The sequence below is a fragment of the Homo sapiens genome, chromosome 8 (assembly GCF_000001405.40).
Source record: "Homo sapiens chromosome 8, GRCh38.p14 Primary Assembly".
In the NCBI taxonomy this organism is placed as follows: Eukaryota; Metazoa; Chordata; class Mammalia; order Primates; family Hominidae; genus Homo; species Homo sapiens.
This window is the reverse complement of record NC_000008.11, coordinates 49,162,641-49,180,162: the sequence shown is the minus strand read 5'-3', so window position 1 is coordinate 49,180,162 and position 17,522 is coordinate 49,162,641. Positions and strand designations below refer to the sequence as shown.

General features: G+C 34.7%; 1 long non-coding RNA gene across 2 annotated transcripts in view, besides 1 other annotated feature; it reads right to left on the bottom strand.

The window, feature by feature from the left end:
* The window catches only part of LOC105375826 (uncharacterized), a 60,415-nt gene extending 48,745 nt beyond the window's left edge, over window positions 1-11,670 (bottom strand). For both annotated transcript variants that reach the window (NR_188094.1, NR_188095.1), the window contains exons 1-2: window positions 11,632-11,670; window positions 11,354-11,479 (exon numbers count right to left, since the gene is read on the bottom strand). This is a non-coding gene — a long non-coding RNA (uncharacterized LOC105375826). The remainder of the gene's footprint in view (window positions 1-11,353; window positions 11,480-11,631) is intronic.
* Window positions 11,634-12,833: an enhancer, noted in NCBI's record as "P300/CBP strongly-dependent group 1 enhancer chr8:50079889-50081088 (GRCh37/hg19 assembly coordinates)". NCBI's record gives its function as "activates an origin of replication core promoter dependent on BRD2, BRD4, P300/CBP, MED14 and CDK7 cofactors, with strong dependence on P300/CBP, by STARR-seq in HCT116 cells {active_cell/tissue: HCT116}" and the evidence as "EXISTENCE:reporter gene assay evidence [ECO:0000049][PMID:35650434]".

Genomic DNA, 17,522 nt, shown 5'->3' with positions numbered 1-17,522 from the left:
CCTTTGCATTGCAATCCATTCAATTATTCTCTTTTAGTTGTTTATAAATGTACAATTAAATTATGTTAACTATAATCACTCTGTTGTGCTATCAAATAGTAGGTCTCATTAATTCCTTCTAATTATTTTTTGTGCCCATTAACCATTCCCACCTCCCTTCTCTACCTCCTCCACTCCCACTGCCCTTCCCAGCCTCTGGAAACTATCCTTCTACTCTCTATGCCCATGAGTTTAATTGTTTTGATTTTTAGCTCCCACAAATATGTGAGAACATGTGATGTTTCTCTGTTTATACCTCATTTAACTTAACATAATCATCTCCAATTCCATCCATATTGTTGCAAATGACAGGATTTCATTCTTCTTTATGGCTGAATAGTACTCCATTTTGTATAAGCACCCCATTTATTTTCATCCATTAATCTGCTGATAGACACTTAGGTTGCTTCTAAATCTTGGTTATCGTGAACAGTGCTGAAACAAACACGGGAGTGCAAATCTCTCTTCAATATACCGATTTCCTTTGTTTGGGTATATACCCAGCAATGGGATTACTGGATCATATAGTAGCTCCATTTTTAGTTTTTTGAGGAACCTCCAAACTGTTCTCCATAATGATTGTACTAATTTACATTCCCATCAACAGTGTACAGGGGTTCCCTTTTCTCCACATCCTTGCCAGCATTTGTTATTACCTGTCTTTTGGATATAATCCATTTTAACTGGGGTGAAGTGGTATTTCATGGAAGGTTTATTTAGGGTTTTGTTTTTGTTTTTTATTTTTGTTTTTGTTGTTGGAGACAGGGTCTTGCTGTGCCATCCAGGCTAGAGTGCAGGGGTGTGATAACAGCTGTTTGCAGCCTCGACCTCCTATGCTCAATTGATCCTCCTACCTCAGCCTCCAGAGTAGCTGGGAATATAGGTGCATGCCACCACACCCAACTAATTTTTTTGTGTGCTTTTTGCAGAGATGAGGTTTCACCATGTTGTACCAAGCTCAAGTGGTCCACCAGCCTCAGCCTCCAAAAGTGCTAGGAATACAGGCATGAGCCACCACACTTGTCATCGTTGAAGTTTTGATTTGCGTTTCTATGATGATCAATGATGTTGAGCACATTGTCACATGTCTGTTAGCCATCTTTATGTCTTTTTTTTTTTTTTGACGGAGTCTCGATCTGTTGCTGGAGTGCAGTGGCATGATCTCAGTTCACTGCAACCTCTGCCTCCTGGGTTCAAGCGATTCTCCTGCCTCAGCCTCCCGAGTAGCTGAGACTACAGGCATGCGCCACCACACCCAGCTCATTTTTGTATTTTTAGTAGAGATGGGGTTTCACTTGTCTTTGAAAAATGTCTATTCAGACCTTTTGCCATTTTTAAATGGGATTAATAGTCTTTTTCCTATTGAACTGTTTGAATTTTTTACATATTCTAGTTATTAATCGCTTGTCAGATGGCTAGTTTGCAAATATTTTCTTGCATTCTGTGGCTTATCTTTTCACTTTGTTGTTTCCTTTGCTGTACAGAAGCTTTAACTTGACATTATCCTATTTGTCCATTTTTGCTTTGGTTGCCTGTGCTTGTGGGGTATTACTCAAAACATTTTTGCCCAGACCAGTGCCCTGGAGAGTTTCACCAATGTTTTCTTGTAGTAGTTTCATAGTTTGAAGTATTAGATTTAAGTCTTTAATCTACTTTGATTTGATCTTGTATATGACAAGAGAAAGAGCTCCAGTTTCATACCTCTGCATATAGATATCCAGTTTTCCCAGCACCATTTATTGAAGAGACTGTCTTTTCCTCAGTGTATGTTCTTGGCGCTTTTGTCAAAAATGAGTTTGCTGTAGGTGTGTGGATTTGTTTGGGGGTTCTCTATTCTGTTCCATTGATCTATGTGTCTGTTTTTATGCCAGTACCATGCTGTTTTGGTTACTATATCTCAGTAGTATATTTTGAAGTCAGGTAATGTGATTCCTCCTAGTTTTGTTCTTTTTGTTTTGGATACTTTTGGCTATTCTGTGTCTTTTGTGGTTCCACATAAATTTGAGGATTGTTTTTTCTGTTTCTGTGAAGTATGTCATTGGTATTTTCATAGGAATTACATTTAATCTGTAGATTGCTTCAGGTGTTATAGATTTTCTAACAATATCGCTTCTTCCAATCCATGAACATGCCTCCATTTTTGTGTGTCCTCTTCAATTTCTTTCATCAATGTCTTATAATTTTCGTTGTAGAGAACTTTCACTTCTTTGGTTAAGTTAATTCTTAGGTATTTACCTTTATATATGGCTACTGTAAATGGGATTACTTTTCTGAGTTCTTTATCAGATTGCTCACTGTTGGCTTATAGAAATGCTACAATTTTTGTATGTTAATATTGTATTCTGCAACTTTACTTAATTTATTTATCAGTTCTAATAGTTTTCTTGTGGATTCTTTAGGTTTTTCCAAATATAAGATCATATCATCAGCAAACAAGGATAATTTGACATCTTCCTTTCCAATTTGGATGCTTTTTATATATTTATCTTGTCTGATGGCTCTAGCTCAGACTTCCAGTACTAGGTTTAATAACAGTGGTGACAGTGGGCATCCTTGTCATGTTCCAGATCTTAGAGGAAAGGCTTTCAATTTCTCCTCATGATGTATGATACTAGCTGTGGGTCTGTCCTATATAGCTTTCATTATGTTTATTTATGTTTTTTATATACCCAGTTGTTTAGGGTTTTTATCATTAAGAGATGTTGATTTGTATCACATGCTTTTTCAACATCAATTAAAATGATCATATGGTTGATGTCCTTCATTGTGTTCATATGATGTATTATATTGATTGATTTGCATATGTTGAACCATCCTTGCATCCCAGGGATAAATCTCACTTGTTCATGAAGAATGCTCATTTTAACGTATTGTTGAATTTGGGTTACTAGCATTTTGTTGAGAATTTTTGCATCAATATTCATCAGAGAAATTGGCCTTTAGTTTTATTTTCTCAATGTATTTTTCTGGTTTTGGTATCAGGTAATACTTGCCTCATAAAATGATTGTGGAAGTATTTCTTCCCCCTCTGCTTTTCAGAATAGAGTATGATTGTTATTAGTTCTTTAAATCTTTTGTAGAATTCAGAAGTAAAGCCATTGTGTCCTGGGTTTTTCTTTACTGGGAGACTTTTTATTACAGCTTTGATCTTGTTGCTTGTAATTGGTCTGTTCAGGTTTTAGATTTCTTCATGGTCAATCTTGATAAGCTGTATGTGTCTAGAAATTTGTCCATATCTTATAGATTTTCCAATTTATTGTCCTGTAGTTGTTCATAGTAGCTACTAATGATTCTGTGAATTTCTGCAGTATCGCTTGTGTCCATTTTCATCTCTGATTTTATTTATTTGAATCTTCTCTCTTTTTTCTTAGTCTGGCTAAAGGTTTGTCAATTTTGTTTAACTTTTCAAAAAGCCGACTTTTTGTTTCATCGATCTTTTTAATTTTTTTATTTCAATTTCATTTATTTCTTCTCTGATATTTATTGTTTCTTTTCTTCTACTAATTTGGGGTTTGGTTTGCTCTTGCTTTTCTAGTTCTTTAAAATGCATCAGTAGGATGTTTACTTGAAGTTTTTCTTCTTTTTTGATGTAGGCACTTATAGCTATAAACTTGCCTCTTAATACTACTTTTGCTGTATCTCACGAGTTTTGGTATATTGTGTTTCCATTAATATTTGTTTCAAGAAATTTTTCAACTTCCTTCTTAATTTCTTTATTGACCCACTGTTCATTCAGGAGCAAATTGTTTAATTTCCATGTGTTTGTATAATTTCTAAAATTCCTCTTGTTACTGATGTCTAGTTTTATTCCATTGTAGTCAGAGAAGATGTTTGATATTATTTCAATTTTTTAATGTTTTGAGACTTGTTTTGTGACCTAATATATGGTATATCCTTTAGAATAATCCAAGCACCGAGGAAAATAACATGTATTCTGCAGGTGTTGAATGAAATGTTCTGTAAATATCTATTAGATCCATTTGGTATATAGTGCAGATTAAGTCTAATGTCTACCTGGTGTTCTATTTTACTGTGGCGGAGCTGACACTCAAACCACAAGACAGTTCTTCCCACTCTTCCCTTGCCATTCCATTGACAGAGAACCCTCACCCCATGGCCACCACCACCACAGGCCCATGGGGAGTGCAGCCAGAGTACTGCTGATGTTCCCTTAAAGCTCAGGGGCTCTTAAGTCAGCTTGCAATGAATGCTGCCTGGCCTAGGACTCACCCTTCATGGAAGTGCCCCCACCCTCACCCCCAGCCCAGGGCAGATCCAGAGAGATACCATCCAATAGCCAAGTCCTGGAATCTGGGACCCCAAGAGCTCACTTGTGCCCTACTCTTTGTGGCCAAGCTGCTACCTAAGGTAAAGGACAAAGTCTCTTTTACATTTCTCTCCACTTTTCTGAAGGAAAAGGAGCCTCCCCCATAGCCTCCAGAGCTGGAAATATGTTGAGTCTCACCTGAAGCCAGCAAGTCTCAGGGTCTCACCCAAAGCCCTCGACGTAGTACCTGGCTATTGCTGCTGGTTATTTAGAGCACACGGCTATTCAGTTAGCAGGTTATAAATCCTGCTGGGAGTAGGTCCTTTCCTTCAAGGCAGTGAGTTCCCTTCTGTCCCACGGTGTGTCTAGAAATGTCATTCAGGAGGTAGGACCTAGAAAGGGGGCCTCACAGTTCTGACAAGTTCCCTATCCTGCTGTAGCTGAGCTGGTCTCTAAGATATAAGACAGGGTCCTCCTCACTCTTCCCTCTCCTCTTCTCAAGCAGAAGTAAAGGGTCTCTTTTGGAGCTGTGAGCTGTGCAGCCTGGGGTTGGGGAGAGGTGATGCCATTACATCTTAGACTACTTGGGCTGGTGTCTCAGTAGGTTGCTTGCCCACCCCCAACACGAGTCCTCTGACTCTGGGCACAGTTATGCACTAGGACTCACCTGGGAGTTGCCATCCTTGTGGCTAGACTTCCTTTCAAGATTATTTAAGTTCCCAGAGCACTTTATCCTACACTGGCAAGGCTTGCAGGAACTGAATATCTAACCGCTGGAATTGGTGATTCACCTCTGTCTAGGGCTGATCTAAATGCTTCCTCCATAGGTGGGCTTCTGCTGAGTTTGGTCAGGTTTTGTTCTCTGGTATAGCAGGGCAGCACTGAGTTCAGTCCCTCACAATTGTTGTGCTCTCCCTCTTCCCGGCACACAGAATCACTCTCCACACCATGCCCCCACTGCCAGGGGTTGGGGAGAAGTGGCATTAGCGATTCAAAACAGTTTCTCTTACCTCTTCCATGCCTCTTTCATTGATATGAAGTTAAAACCAGGTACTGTGAGTGCTCACCTGATTTTTGGTTCTTATGAAGGTGATATTTTGTGTAGATAGTTAATTTAATGTCCCTACAAGGAGGGACAATCATTCTGCCATCTTGCTCTACCCCTGTGCAAACTAGAAATACTTTTAAAACAACATTAAGTAAAATTTCTTCAGAATAATTTCTAACTTTTTTTCTATATACTATTGTAGATAATTTACAGGGAGTGTACAGAGAAAAATATGTATTTTAAAGAGCATATTTGAAAAAAATTCTAGAAGAAATGGGGGTATCAAAAGATGAAATAAATTATAATTGATAAGAATAAATGCTGAAGATTTAGTCATGGTTGTAGTAAGCAAAATAAGAACAAAAACTACCACAACTACTTAATCGAAATAAGCCTTCTATAGTGATATGGCACTGGCTACAATTTGATTCAAGAGCTTTGGCATTGCCTGAACCATGCTGTCATTGAGTTCTTTATATATTTCACTGAACTAGTCTACTAAGTTCAGATTCTGTGGCTAATTTAGTCACTTTGTCAGACTTCAAAATATTACCCAAGGTTTACTCTCTTTGACTTCCCTAACAATACAAACCTGATTTTTAGCCACACTGGAGGATAGTCATTGGTGAAAACATTGATGTTAAAAGAGGGAAAGTATCCCTTGATAAAGGATAACAGTAGTTTCAGAGCAGGTGGCAGAATAAAATCAGAATTTTGGATTGACCACTTTTGCTTTCTCTTTTAATTCAAAAGAGTTAAACAAATAAAATATATAGGTATGTGATATATAAACAGAATTGAAAAGAAATATATTTTTGCCAACATACATATACATTGCATATATTCTGAAATATAATTGACTAAAATGTCAGGCCTTGAAGGTACAGAGTATGAAAAACTGTTCCCAGACACTAAATAGGGCATGAATAATAGTAGTTGAAAATGCAGTTTTAGGAGGAGATAAAACCTCTGAGCATAACTATTAGTTACTTTCTATTAAAGATCCTCTCTCAAGTAATTGAAGAATTCTGCCTCAGACAAAAATTATTGTTAATGGCTTCAAGATGATGGGCTATATTTTAAGCAAGAAAGGGTTTAACTGAGCACTGGACAAGCATATTCAAATTTTAAAACCTTACCTAGGACTACTTTTTTCTAGTCAAGAATGAATAAGAGAAGTTAGAGTCACCCTGTAATCTAAAACTACCAAGATAAGAGAAAATATACACCTTAATGGCACTAAAATATTGAATTGTAACAGTCAAAGAAGGACAGTGATATCTACAAAAAGAGGAACTAAAGAATGGAGTACTACAATTTTCCCAGCTTACAAACTGATAAAGTTTAAAGATCTTATAAAGAGAGGGAGAAACCCAGTAAGAGCCTACAAGTCTCCATGAAATAAGGAATTGGGAGCCCGGAGATCTCAAAATATCAGGAATCCACAGGACTGAGTACCAAAGAGGAAAGAGCAGCACAGAAAACTGAAGACGTCAAAGAATCCCCCTAACTCTTCACCTGAATACTGGTAAATAAATACATGTGAGGAAAATATCCAAGAGGAAGAAAGAAATAGCAAAATTGATAAAGAGAACTGTACATGAGGTTTACACAGATCTGAGCATAGCCCTGTTGACAACACAGGCATTTTCAAATTTTAAAATGCCTTATGGTTCATTGGGTATTTGGTAGAGTACTAAGAGTTTGTCTTAGTATTGAGGAGAAAGTAACACTAGAATAAACACTGCTCTGACCTCGTTTAACCAGTGCTTAAAATAAAGACTGAAAAAGATCAAAATTGTTTCAAGAAGTTGTCCTGCATCAAAACAAAGCTAAAGAATATCACAGAGAGGCAAAAATATCCAGCACTCAGCAAGTAAAATTCTGTGTCTGACATCCAATAAAAAATTACAATGAATAGGATATCAAAAAAATGGTGAAATTGGGACTTTTGAACATTTTGTTCTTCATACATCAAAAGAAAACTAGGAGAAAGATCAGAATAAACTTTTTTAGCATTCTAGAAATTAACCAAAGTTTTACAGCAGAGGAGGATTTATACAAGAAAACTTGCTGAATCTCAGTAAGAGTGAGCTTTTTGGCATTTTAGCTTACTCTAGTCATATTACCCCTTCTCCATCACCCCAGTATCCTTGAAAAATAATAGAACACATTCCTGGTACAGCATGATCAACCTGGAAAGAAGCAAAAGGAAGCAGAAGGAAGCTGGAGCTCTTTCAAAGCCCCATTCCCAAAGAATTGTCATCATTTGAACTGTCTGGTGGTTCTGAGGAAGACCCACTTTCAAGGTTTTCTGTATTTGACTTGACATGGCACTTGCCAGGTGTGAAAATCTCTTTAAAGGGAGCATTTGTCAAAATCATTTACGGGCAAGTGTTTTAACTTCATCACTGCCTCAGATGCCAGATAGCAGTCTGGGCAAATGATAGAGTAACCAAAAGCTTAGGAGAAAATGTTGGGAATGAGATGCCCATAAGGGCTTTTAAAAGCTCTGATATACCCTTAGAAATCTAGAAGTCCACATGCATGCATAGGACTGTGTGCATTCACAGGCTGGTATACATGGTGTTCTCAAAAAAGGCCTGAAAACGTCCTAAGCTGTCACTTCTGGCTGACCTTGTGACACTGCACAAGCCAGAAGTGAAAGCTCAGGCAGAGCTGTAAGGTGTCTAGCTGAATGTTGAAAGCATGCCCCAACATGCACAGAAAGCCTCTCAGCAAAAACTGAGAGACTTAATGGTTCCAGAAATGGAGGCATATTTCTGCCTAGTCAATAGCTAAACACTAAGCTAAATGAATTGAGACATCAATGACTACACATGCCAAAGAATGCAGACATTAAATAATTAGATAACAAAATTCACTAAACAAACAAAGCTACAGCAAGCAGCAACAACAACAAACCAGAGAGAAATGAAAGATTATTATTTCTGGAATTGAAACATTATATCATTTTAAATGTCCAGATTTTTTAATGACATATAAAAAATTATTTTAAACCATGGCCTGTAGGAGGGAAAAAAAGCAATTAATAATAATTGTCACTTTACTAAAGAATATCAGATATTGACCTTATTAGACAAAGATTTAAATTAGCTATTTTAAGTATGTTCAAAGAGTGAAAGTTTACATTCTAAAGAACTAGGAGAAAGTATCAGAATAATGTCTTACCAAAACAGAGAATATCAGTAAAGAGATAGAAACGAAACCAGCTATATTTAATAGTATTTTAAATGTGTCACCCCACTGCTTTCTGACTTCCATGGTCCCATAAAGAGAACCAAATAAAAATACTAATAAATAAATCTTTCAACAAACAATGCTGTATCTAGAAAACTGCTCTTCAAAATTGAAGGAGAAATTAAGACATTCCCAAATAAACTAAAACTGAGAGAATCTGTCCCTGGAAAAATTTCCCTACAAGAAATTCAAAGGAGAGTATTTCAGGTTGAAAGGAAAGGACAGTAAACAGTAAGTGGGAAACACATGAAGAAATAAAGTGCACCTTACTGGTAACCACATAGGTAAACGTTAGACAGTATAAATATAACTTTTGTTTGACTTGTATTTTTGCCCTATGTAATTTAAAAGACAGCTGGGTGAATGCATGTTCTGATATAAACACACGTGTAAAGATGTAATTTGTATAACAATAACGTAAAGGAGGGGAGAAAATGGAGCTATATAGGAGAAAACTTTCTGTATACTATGAAAATTTAGCAGGTATTTATCTAAACGAAATTGTAAGGAGTTAAAATATTATTTGTAATCTCCAAGGCAATCACTGAAGAAAATCTCAAAAAATACATATTAAAAAATACATATTAAACAATAAATTAAAATGGTACCATAGAAGGTATCTACTGAAAACTAGAAACCAATAATAGAAGAATGGGGAGAAAAAAGGCATAAGACATATAGAAAACAAATAGGAAAATGATAGACATAGATTCTACTTATTGGTAACTACATAAAATGTAAATTATTTAAGCTCTCTAATTAAAAGGCAAATATTGCTGAAATGCCTAAAAAAATAGCTCAACAAAATATTTATCACAATAGACACACTTTATAATCAAATATACAAATAGTTTGAAGGTAAACAAATAGAAAAAAGTTATGTCACACAAACTTATCACAAAGGAACTGGAGTGACTAAACTAATATTAGACAAAATATATTCTAAGACAAAATTTGTCACTAGACACAAAGAAATATTTTATTTATTTTATTTTATTTATTTTATTTTATTTTATTTTATTTTATTTTATTTTATTTTATTTTATTTTATTTTATTTTAACAAGATCTTGTTCTGGCACCCAGGCTGGAGTGCAGTGGTGCAATCTTGGCTCACTGCAACTTTGAACTCCTGGACTCAAGAGATCCTCTTACCTCAGCCTCTAAAGTAGCTGGGGCTACAGGTGCAAGCCATCATGCTCAGCTAATTTTTCTATTTTTTAGTAGATGGGGTTTCTACCATCTACCCCAGGCTGGTTTCAAACTCCTGGGCTCAAGCAATCCACCCGACTGGGCTACTGGGCCTCCCAAAGTTCTGGGATTACTGGCATGAACCACTGCACCCAGCCGAAAGACATTTTTAATGATAAAATGATTAAGCCAACAAGAAGCACAAATAATATTAAGATATATAGTACTTAAAAAGAAAGCTACAAGTACATGAAGCCAAAATTGAGAGGAAAAGTAGGCATTTCACAATAATAAGACTGCAATACCTCATTTTCAATGGTGTATAGAAAAAGGAGACAGAAGATCAGTAACGAAATTGAAGACTTACACAATGCTGTAAGTCAACTAGACCTAACAGACATCTACAGATCACTCCACCTAGCAACAGCAGAATACACATTCTTCTCAAGTACACATGAAACACTCACCATGATATACCATATGTTAGGCCATAAAAAAGTCAAAATAAATTTAAAATGATGGTAAAATTGTACAAGAGTATGACTACAATGTAAAGAAATTAGAAATCAATGACAGAATAATTTTCACAGTCACAAATATGTGAAAATTAAACACCACACCTAATAAACAATAGGTCAGAAAGAAATCACACAGAAAATTAAAAAGAACCTTGAGATTAATGAAAACAAAGGCACAAGATACTAAAACTTATGGGGAACATCAAAAGCAGTACTTAGAAGGAAATCTATAGCTTTAAATATTTACACAACAGCACAATAAAGATCTAAAATAAACCTTTCACCATCCACAGAAAGAAGAGCAAACTCAACACAAAACAAGCAGAAAGAAAGAAAAAATAAATATTAAAGTGGAAAGAAATGAAATAAATCTTAGACAAACAATAGAGAAAATTAAACCAAATATGTAACATTTTGGAGAGAACAACAAAATAGCAAATCTTGAGTAAGATTGACAAAAAACAGAGAGCAGACTCAAATTACTGAAATCAAAAATGAAAAGAGGAGCATTACTCTTGGCCTTACAGATATAAAATTTTTATGAAGATACTATGCACAATTGTATGGTAACAAATTAGATAATCAAATGACATAGATACATTTATAGAAAGACATGAACCATCTAAACTAACCCAAGAAGAAATAGACAATATAATAGGCTTGTGACAGAGTAATTTTAAAACTATTTCACAGCAAAAAACCCAAGATGAAATGACTTTTTGGTGAATTCTGCCAGCAAATACTAGCAAACTAAATTAATTTAGCAACGTGTTTAAAAGATTAGAAACAATGATCAAATTAGATTTATTTCAGAAATTCAAGTTTGGTTCAACATAGAAAAAATTAGTAAACATAACACGTAATATTAATTGAATAAATGGGAAAAAGACATAATTTTCTCAATAGAGAAAATACTTGGATAAATCCAACATTATTTCATGATAAGACTCTCAACAATATAGGAATAGAATGAAACTTACTCAATCTGATTAAAGCAATCTAAGAAAAACCAGGGCCAATATCATACTTACTGGTGAAAAACGGGATGCTTTCTCCCAATATCAGGAACAAGACATGAACATGTGCCCTTGCCTCTTCTATTCAACAGTGTATCAGACGTTTTAACCAGATAAATTGGGCAGGAAAGGAAACATCATCTAAATTGAAAAGCAAGAAGTATTTGTAGATGATCTATCCTTTATAAAGAAAACCCCAAAATATTAAAAAAAAAACTCTCGGAGCTAATAACCACATTCAGCAACAGTGCAAAGTCCAAGTGTTGGACAGTTTCTGTATAGCCTTGACAGACCTAGTCTTCTTCTGTCTTGTTGATTGTAGTTCTCAGAATAGTTGAAGCATGTGTGAGCATGCAATATCCTGAGACAGGGAGGAACTGCTAGAAATAGACCAGGCTTTGTTATTTGCCCTCCTAGGGAAGAGAACTTCTTGAGTTAGAGAAGAATTGCTCAGGATAGCCTGAGCTTTAGTCTTTATCTTAGAAGCAAGACGCCCTTCAATGCTTTAGCCCAGCAACTCACATGTCCCCTGAGTTAACTCAAGGTGGGTTGCCTTTTGGGATCCCTAAGCTGCAGTCCAAGTGTGGCATGTTCAGTCAGGACTCCATCCACCCCCGACAGCTCTCCAGAGCCTCGGCTGACCAGCTCACTGTGGATCCTGGGCTTCTGTTGTCCCTTGCCACCTATCTGTAAGTAATAATCCTGTTCCATATAACTTGTACAATGTGAGTGTTGTATCTAACTGAACTTGGGTGAATAGTAAAGGTGCAGCCCAGGATGGAGTGAACAAAAGTGTTTGGATCCTGCTCCTGGTGGTTGGCATAGCAATGATCTTTGTTATCCTCCATGCAATGGGAGTCCTTCCTTAGTATTGGTAATTAGTCACCATGGTCATACCAGTCTGAACATGTGTGATCTTGTCTGATCTCAGAAAATATTGGTAATTAGTTAACCTGTTTCACACCAAGATCAATATTTAAAACTCAGTTGCATTTCTATATAGTATCAATGAACAATACAAAAACTAAACTAAGAAAACTATTATACTTACAATAGAAAATAAAATAAAATATTAAGAATAAATTCAACCAAAAATGTGCAATGTAATGCACATTTGTAAATAGAAAACTAGAAACATTGTTGAAAGAAATTAAAGAAGATCTACATAAATGGAAAAACATGTTATGTTCATGTGTTAAAAGTCTTAATGCTGTTAAGATAGCAATACTACTATGGTCAATAATACTATATTTTATACTTGGAGTTTTATAAGACAGTAGATCTTAAATGTTTTCACCACACACACAAAAATCATAATCGTGTGAGGTGAGAGATTGTGGCAATTATTTCACAATCTGTTCATGTATCAAAACATCACATTAAATACCCAACATATATACAATTTTTATTTATCAAAAGCTGGAAAAAGCAATCTCTATCAAAATTCCACCTTTATTTTTCACATAAATTACAAGCTGATCCTAAAGTTAATGTGAAATTCAAATATTATTAGGCATGCTAAGAAGCAGGAAAATGAAACACAGAGTGGATATAAAAATCAGTCAATAGAAGCTGAGCCAGAAATAACACGTTTCTAAATGAGAATGTGAAACAGTTATTATAACTGCAATTCATATGTTTAAGAAGTTAGAGAAATAGAAATTAAAATAAATAAGCTACTTTATCCTCTCTCCCTCCTGTAAGGGTTGATGCAGAGTACATTACCCCCAGCAATACAAATACATGTGTGCAATATGTCCACTCAGGGAATCTCATTAGCTACTCAGTACCCACATTTTCATTAGGAGCTGGTCATACAGGTACCTTCTGCCTAGGATGTACCGAAATTCCAAACTCCCAGGAAAAAATTACGTGTTCAGGATAAGCCATATTATTTTCACAAACAGTCTATGCACAATGAGCCACTCTTATCATTCAAAGAAAGTTTTATATCAGTCAAGGGAAATGTTTACCGATCAAGTTCCCAGATGCCAGTCAAGGGTAAACCTTTCAAGAATAAGTTTCTAAGGATAGGCAGTCTCAGCTCTGCTACATTAACCATTTTTGCACAATATGGAATACTCAAGCAACACCATTAACCAATGTGCACTAACTGACATTTATGGATTACTCCACTCCATCCAATAAGGGCAGAAAATTTATTATTTTTAAAAGTACATGGAACATTTAGCAAGAGAGACCTAATATGGACCATCAACAAGTCTCAATATGTTTAAAAGAATTCAGGACCATAAATAAGTCTCACTACCGTTTAAAGGATTCAAACCACCAGAAGTAAGTTCTCTGACTGCCACAGAATTAAATTAGAAATTATCAACAAAAAATATTTTTGAATACCCCCAAATATTCAAAATCTGAATAGCACAATTCTAAATAACCCATGAAGCAAAGAAGAAATTGAAAGGGAAATTAGAAATTATGTTTAAATAAATAGAAATAAAAGGCTAATATATTAAATTTTGTGGGATATAGCTAAAACAGACCTTAGGGAAAATTTTACAGCCTTACCACCAAGATTAGAAAAGAAAAAAGTTTCAAGTCAATAATATCAGCTTTTACCTTAAAACAAAATAAAACCAAAACAAACAAGCAAAAAAAGAGCAAATCGATTCCAGAAGCTAATAACAATAATGACAGTAGTAGTAGTAATCAAAATCAATAAGAAACAGAAAAAGAAGTAGAGAAAAAACAATGAATCTCAAAGCTGTGGTTTTTAGAAAGTTAATAAAGACACAAATTACCAATACTATGAATGATGAAATTGATATCACTACAGATTCTAGACATATTAAGATGATAACAAAAAAAAATTGTGAACAGCTTTATGCCAGTAAGTTATACAACTTAGATGACAAATTATTTTAAAAACACAATCATCAAGGCTCATTAAAAATAAATAAACAATCTGAATAGCCCTACATCAATCACAGAAATCGAAACTTCAGTTCCCACAAATAAACCCATAGACCCATATCATTTTGCTGAGGAATTCTACCAATTACTTGAGAAATAATATAATTTTTACATGAAATCTTGTAGAATTGTAAAGAGGAGGAAAATATCTACTCATTCAATGAGGCCACCAAGATTTTTATATAAAATCTAGGCAAGGGCATGACAAGAAAATTGTAGACGAGTGTCCATCATGAACATAGGTACAAAAATCCTTAACAAAATTTTGATAAGTCTAATCAAACAATATAAAAAAGGATAATACAAAAAAATGCAAGGCTGACAATAAATAGGCCGATAATAATATAATTCACCATATAATCAGACTAAAAACAATGGTCATCTCAAAAGATGAAGAAACAACATTTGACTTCAAGACTTATGCAGTTACAATAATCAAGGTGTGATATCAGCATCAAAATAGAAAACCAGATCAAGAAAACAGAATAGTGTAAAAGTACACCCATACAAACATGGTACACCCACACAAATATGGTCAATTTGTTTTTGACAAAAGTTTAAAGACAAATCTGTAGAAAACGAATAATCTTTTTAACAAATGATCAGTTGTAAGTATATATAGAAAAAAACTTTGATCTATACATTGCAACATAAACAAAAAATAATAAAAATAGATAATACCCAAATATTAAATGTAGAAATATGAAATTTCTGGAAAAAAATTACAGGAAAAAATCTTTGTGATCTTGAGTCAGGCAAAAAAAAAATTAGAATAGCAAAAGCATGAATAAAAGAAAATTTAAATATCACAAATTTGGTGTTATTTAAATTGTGAATTTCTTGGCTTCAAAATACAGTGTTAAACTAATTAATGAAAGACAAGCCACAGACTGGAAGAAAGGATTATGAAGTCACATAAATGATGTATTCAAAATATGAAAATAAACTCTCCAAACTCAACAATAAGAAAACAAGAAACATAACTTTAAAAGTGGACAAACATTTGAATAGATCCTACACAAAAAAAGATATATGCATTGCAAAAAAAAAACATGAAAATATGCTCAAAATCATTAGTTACTGGGAAAGTTAAAACCACAATGGGATTTCACATCCACGACCATGTCTAAACTCATAGTTACTTACTTAACAAAGTGTTAGCAAGCATGCGCTGAAACCCAAGCAATGCTGGTGGGAATGTAAAACAGTACAAGCACTTTGAAAAACAATACAAGTTTCTACTAGAATGTTAAGCATACATTTACTATATGACTCAGGAATTATACTCTTAGGTATTTACACAAGAGAAATTAAAGTCCATAGCCATACAAAGACTTCTAGACAAATATTTGTAGCCAGCTAATTTGTCATTACCTACAACTGGAATCAATCCAAATGCCCAAAAGATGAAATTATAGATAAATTGCTGTATATCCATTCAGTGGAATTCTACCCAGCAATAGCAAGAAATAATTTATTAAACAGACAAACACATATATTAATCTCAAAATAACTATTTAGTTAAAGAGGAAATACAAAGATCATAGTATATACAGTACTCTTCACATAAAGTTCTGGAAAATGCAAACTTATTTAAAGTAACATCATTGCCTGGGAATGAGGAGAGGTCAGGAAGACTCAAGAGGGAGGCATTACCAAAGGATAGGAGATTCTTTTGGGAATGATAAATAGGATGTTCATTGTCTTTAACAATGAACAATATTGATGTTCATTATTGATGTTCGTTATACTTTGATAGTTTCACAGGTGTACACCTATCAAAAGCTATCCACTTGTGCATTTGAAGAGTGCAATTTATCATATGCCAATTAAATCTAATAAATTGTTTTAAAATTATATCTAAAAGAGATATTGCTTGTTTACCCAAATTGCTTGTTTAAGGTGGTAACCAAAAGCTAACTCAGTGGAAGACTACTAAGGTAACTGGCAAAGAGACGTCCATGCACGGCCTGCCTTGGCTGTGACTGCTGCCCTTCTTTTAGACAGCCTTCTTGTAAGAAAACAGATAGGGCAGCACAGCACCAGGAAGCCAGATGGCCATGCTGTTTTCCTACTGACAAGGCCTGCTATTTTGCTACAAGACCCAATCCATGGTCATCTGTTTCTTCATCAAGAAAATAAAGACACTGATACTAAAATTCTATCATTTATCTCCTGTCAGATACCAATCAGTTAACTTAACTAAAATTCCATTTCTAATACAAGTAATACTCAGGTTTCTTTGTTGTCCTCACAGGTTTTCATCAGTATCAAGTGTCTTCATTATTTCTTCTACTACGTAATCTCTGGAATTGAAATTACAGCCACTGTCTTTGCTCTCTTTTATACACTGTGGTCTGATTGCAGTACATTTTTCGTTTTTGTTTTTGTTTGCCATTGTTAAACTGTATCTTTAGGACAGCGATGATTTCAATGGTCTGTTGCTCCAATGGCTTTTTTAACTGCTGGAATGCACACAGTACAGCCTGAGATCCCAGATTAAAATGCCTCTTAAAGAACATAAAGAAGATAAACATTTTCCAGTAGGATAAAATTGTTTTCAAGATATCCCAACAAAATGATTTAGTACTTTACCACAAAAGTTTACACAATTTAAACAAAAAGTTTACACAATTACATTTTGCTCTCAATAATCTTTGAAATACACAATGCTTGACATATTATTAATCTCTAAAACACATAAAATCAGGAAATTAGCATCAGTGATATTATCTTTTGATTTTACTTTACTCCTTTTCTCTCATTTCCTTGCTCAGTTAATATATTAGTGTGGTATTTTTTAATGCCTCACAACAAATGCTAATGAATTATTTACCATTTTCTCGCAAAATGGCAAAATATGAGATGGTTTATACTACCATGTGGAATTAGGGCAGGTAACCATAAATTACCACAGTGAGTTACAGCTCTTATGCAGGATATGGTAGCTTTGCTGGAGTAGACGAACCTAATCTCATGTCCCTGCTATACAGTTACTGGTCTGGGAAATTATTATTTTTCTTACTCATAGGCAGAAGAATCAGAAGCAATGTATCCTAACATGAAATGGGCATAGAATGGAAAGTCTGTGGTATCTCCCTTGCTCTCTCCTGGATCATCTAAAATTCCTAAAAATATCTCATTGGTTCATTGCATTAACGGAATCATGGTCATTGGAATGTGACAAGTATTGATATATCTTGGTAAGACTCATGTTATTCAGACTATGGGAAGGAAACTCTACAAAGAC